Source organism: Homo sapiens, chromosome 11 (assembly GCF_000001405.40).
Source record: "Homo sapiens chromosome 11, GRCh38.p14 Primary Assembly".
Taxonomy (NCBI): domain Eukaryota; kingdom Metazoa; phylum Chordata; class Mammalia; order Primates; family Hominidae; genus Homo; species Homo sapiens.
The window spans coordinates 71,638,804-71,642,260 of NC_000011.10; the positions used below are offsets into that span (position 1 = coordinate 71,638,804).

Here is a 3,457-nt window from a genome sequence, read left to right on the forward strand (position 1 = left end):
TCCCTCTCCCAGCTCCAAGACCTGCTGAGCCTCCTGTCTTTTTCAGTTCCCATGCCCCCAGCACTTCTCCTTGGCCTCCCTTTGCCCAATTGACAATGTCCGTTCTCAATGCCTTCTCACCCAGGGCTGAGCCCTACTGTGTGAAGGCCATGCCTGTCATGTTCACCAAAATATCCCCTCCCCCATCACCACGCGTGGGCCACAGAGATGCTCAAAAAAGATCTGTTGGTAGGCAACGCGAAGGTGCATTCATGTCATCTTGCAGGAGGAATTCTCCACGAGTTTTGAGCAGCCTCGGTTTTCCCACCACCTCCAAATCATGCAAGACACAGGGTAAGAGCAAAGACAAGGTGGCTGTGGCCGATGTCCACCCTCTCGGGGCGTCCCTTCTCTTCTCTCCTCCTTGGGCAGGGAGACCATCGGGGTGCAACCTGGCTGGGGCGGGGAGGAGGTGCAGAGCCTGGCCGGAGCTGGCCTGGCCAAGAGCAGGGGACAGCGACCGCCTAGGCCAGGGCAGGTGAGCGCGGCGCAGGCCCCGGCCCGGCGTGTCCGCGGTGCGTGCGAGCGGCCAGCAGAGGGCGCTAGAGAGCCAGGAGCGGCCCGCGGAGGAGCCCGCGCCGGCCCCGATGCCCAGCTCCGAGCCGCGCGGACCCACCGAGCCCGCGCTCAGACGCCCCAGCTCCGCCGAGAGGCCGCTCGCGCCGGGTCCTTCCTCTTCCCCAAGTGCAGGCAGAGCCCCCGGAGCCATGGCCAGCCCTTCCGGCAGCTCCGAAGCCACTGGCAAGCCCCGAGGCAAGGATGGCCGGCCCAGGAGGGAGGAGGACGACGTCCCTCCCGAGGAGAAGAGGCTGCGGCTGGTTGCTGGAGCGGGGAAGCGCACAGCCCGAGGACTGCGAGGACGGGGAGGACGCTCCGCGGCCAGGCAGGGAGGAGACCTGCACCCAGACAGGTGGCGACGGCAGAGGAGTAAGTGACGCGGGCGCGGGGGTCCGGGGGTGCCGGGGGCGCGGGGGTGCCGGGGACGCGGGGTAGGGACGGCGGGAGGCTCCGTGGCCGGCCCCGGGTTGAAGTTGGTAACTGAGCGGCAACTCCGGCGGGCGCGGAGTGACAGCTCGTGACGGCCTCCGAGACGCCAGCTGCCCCTTCTCGGCTGTGTGGCTTAGACTTCCTGATTCTCCCACGACGTCCCTGGACTAGAGACCCACTGGACTCTGCGGCTAGTCAAAAGAGGAGGGGGAGCCCCGCGTCCTGGGGGCCCTCAGCAGGGGAAGGGGCGGGGGTTGCCCCGGGCATCCTGTCTGGGGCATCTGTCTGGGACTCTGCCGGTGCCTCTCACCTGGCGAGGGGCTTGTGGTGGGGGCAGGGGGGAAGTACCTGGAGCCAGGCTTGGCCAAGCCCTGCTCTGCTGGGCTGCGGGCTGGCGGCGCTCACCCAGCTCCTCACCTATCCCGCATCTTCCTGTTTTTCTTCCCTTTCTGGTTGGGCAGCGAGAGTTGAGAGGAGGCAGATGGCTTCCATCCCAGAAATCGCTCTCCTCTTTCCATCCCTACAGAGAGGGACAGAGAGGGAAAGTTCCTTGCATCCCCCGGGGCGCTGTCCCTGTGAGCTCCCGGTGTCCTGCACACGTGGAACCCTGAGTCACCGGGCCTGTGTGTGTGCGATGGGGCTCCGTGGCCAGCCTGGCCTCCTGGGGTTCACTTTCTGCTTTCCTACCCCAACTCTTCCTGTGTGGCTTTGCTGGCCTTCCACTGGGGAGGCACGTGGGTTTGGAGGGCAGATGAGGGCCCGCTGAGGAGCTGTACCCCTCAGTGAGGGCCGCCACCTTGATGGTTTTTGATGGATAATGGGGTTGACCTCTTTGCTCCTTCCACATGTTTTTATGTTTGACCATTTGCTCAGCTGAGCGTGTCTTAATCATTTGTTTCGTGGTGAATGAGCCCCACATGGGAGAGAGGGCGCCTTCATTCTGAACCCATTTAGGCAGCACGGGCAGCCCTCCTCGCCGTGGGCTGCATCAGAGCCCCCACTGCCCAGTCTTGGGGTTGCTCCTGGATGCTGTCTGGGAGGCTTGTTCATGGTGACATCCTCATCTCCCCGTGCACTTTACTGCATTCAGAGCTTGGGTCACCTGGACACTGAACTCAGATGAATTTTCTCTGAGATCCCGGGAGAAGGAGGACAGTTCTCTGGAAGGTTTTCCAGGGCCGATCACGGAAAGGATGAGAAGGGAAAGGTCCTGGTCGGGGACACAATGACGGTGGCAGTGTAACGCCGGGAAACTTGATTGCGTGAGGTCCCTCTCACTCCCTCTACCTCCCTCTTTTACGTAGACTCTGCCAAAGACCAGGATACCAGAATGCAATGGAGTGACCAAGTGTAGTGGGACCTTGGGAACGTGAGTCTGGAGCCAGGTGGCTGGGGTTTGCATCCTGGTTCTGCCCCTCCTTAGCTGGCTGACATGGCACAAGCCACTTACCCTCTCTGAGCCTTACTGTCTTCAGTGGCAAATGGATCGGTCAACAGGCCCCATTGCCTGGGGTTGTTACTGCTGAGATTAAGGGAAGCTCGTCCATAGAAGCACTTAGCATTGTGCCTGGCACATAGTGTATGGTGGATAAATGGGAATTAGGACTGAAACTCATGCCTTGGTGTGTTTTTGCAGTGATGTTTTGTTCTGGGGTGCATCACAAGGTTCTTGGCCGGGCGTGGTGGCTCAAGCTAATAATCCCAGCACTTTGAAAGGCCGAAGGGGGAGGATTGCTTGAGCCCAGGAGTTTAAGACCAGCCTGGGCAACGTGGTGAAGCCTCATATCTACCAAAAAAAAAAAAAAAAAAAAAGCCAGGTATGGTGGTGCGTGCATGTAGTCCCAAGTACTTGGGAAGCTGAGGTGGGAGGATTGCTAGAGCCTGGAAGGTCTGGCTGCAGTGGGCTGTGATCATGCCACTGCACTCCAGCCTAGGTGACAAAGTGAGACCCTGTTTCAAGGAAAAGAGAGAGAGAGAGACAGACCCACAAGTGTCTTAAGCCAGAATCTCCATGTTAAAATGCTTTCTGGAGGCTAGAAGGATGATATATTGATAATGAAATATTTAAAAGGCAGAAACCCCACTGAATTTCTTGGTCCACAGAGGGAAATGGGAATCGCATGACCTGAAGGATGATGCAGGAACTGAACAGAAACCATCCTTGTTTCCTGAATCTGAATATGGCACCCTCTTTTCACGGTGTCTGTATCTGCTCAGTCTGGCGGCCCCTCGAAAAGAGGGAATCTTGATTTTCAAACTTAAAATTTGGCCCAAAACCCACTGCTGCCCACAATGCCCGCCAGACACATTCCTCTTCCCTTTTAGTTTCTATGGGAATACTCTCTTTGAAGAACCCATGAAGCAGTGTCAGGCTGGTGTGAGGATCAGCAGCAATTTCTTTGAGGAGGAGAGCCCGTTTCTTCACTCACAG

General features: G+C 58.7%; 1 pseudogene, besides 1 other annotated feature; it reads left to right on the forward strand.

Annotated features, from left to right (window-relative positions):
* The first annotated feature begins 245 nt into the window (after nt 1–245).
* LOC645544 (translation initiation factor IF-2-like) lies at nt 246–2,756 on the forward strand (annotated as a pseudogene).
* Nucleotides 492–671: a silencer, noted in NCBI's record as "silent region_3710". NCBI's record gives its function as "represses an Ori minimal core promoter by ATAC-STARR-seq in GM12878 lymphoblastoid cells {active_cell/tissue: GM12878}" and the evidence as "EXISTENCE:reporter gene assay evidence [ECO:0000049][PMID:35858748]".
* Nucleotides 2,757–3,457: the final 701 nt, after the last annotated feature.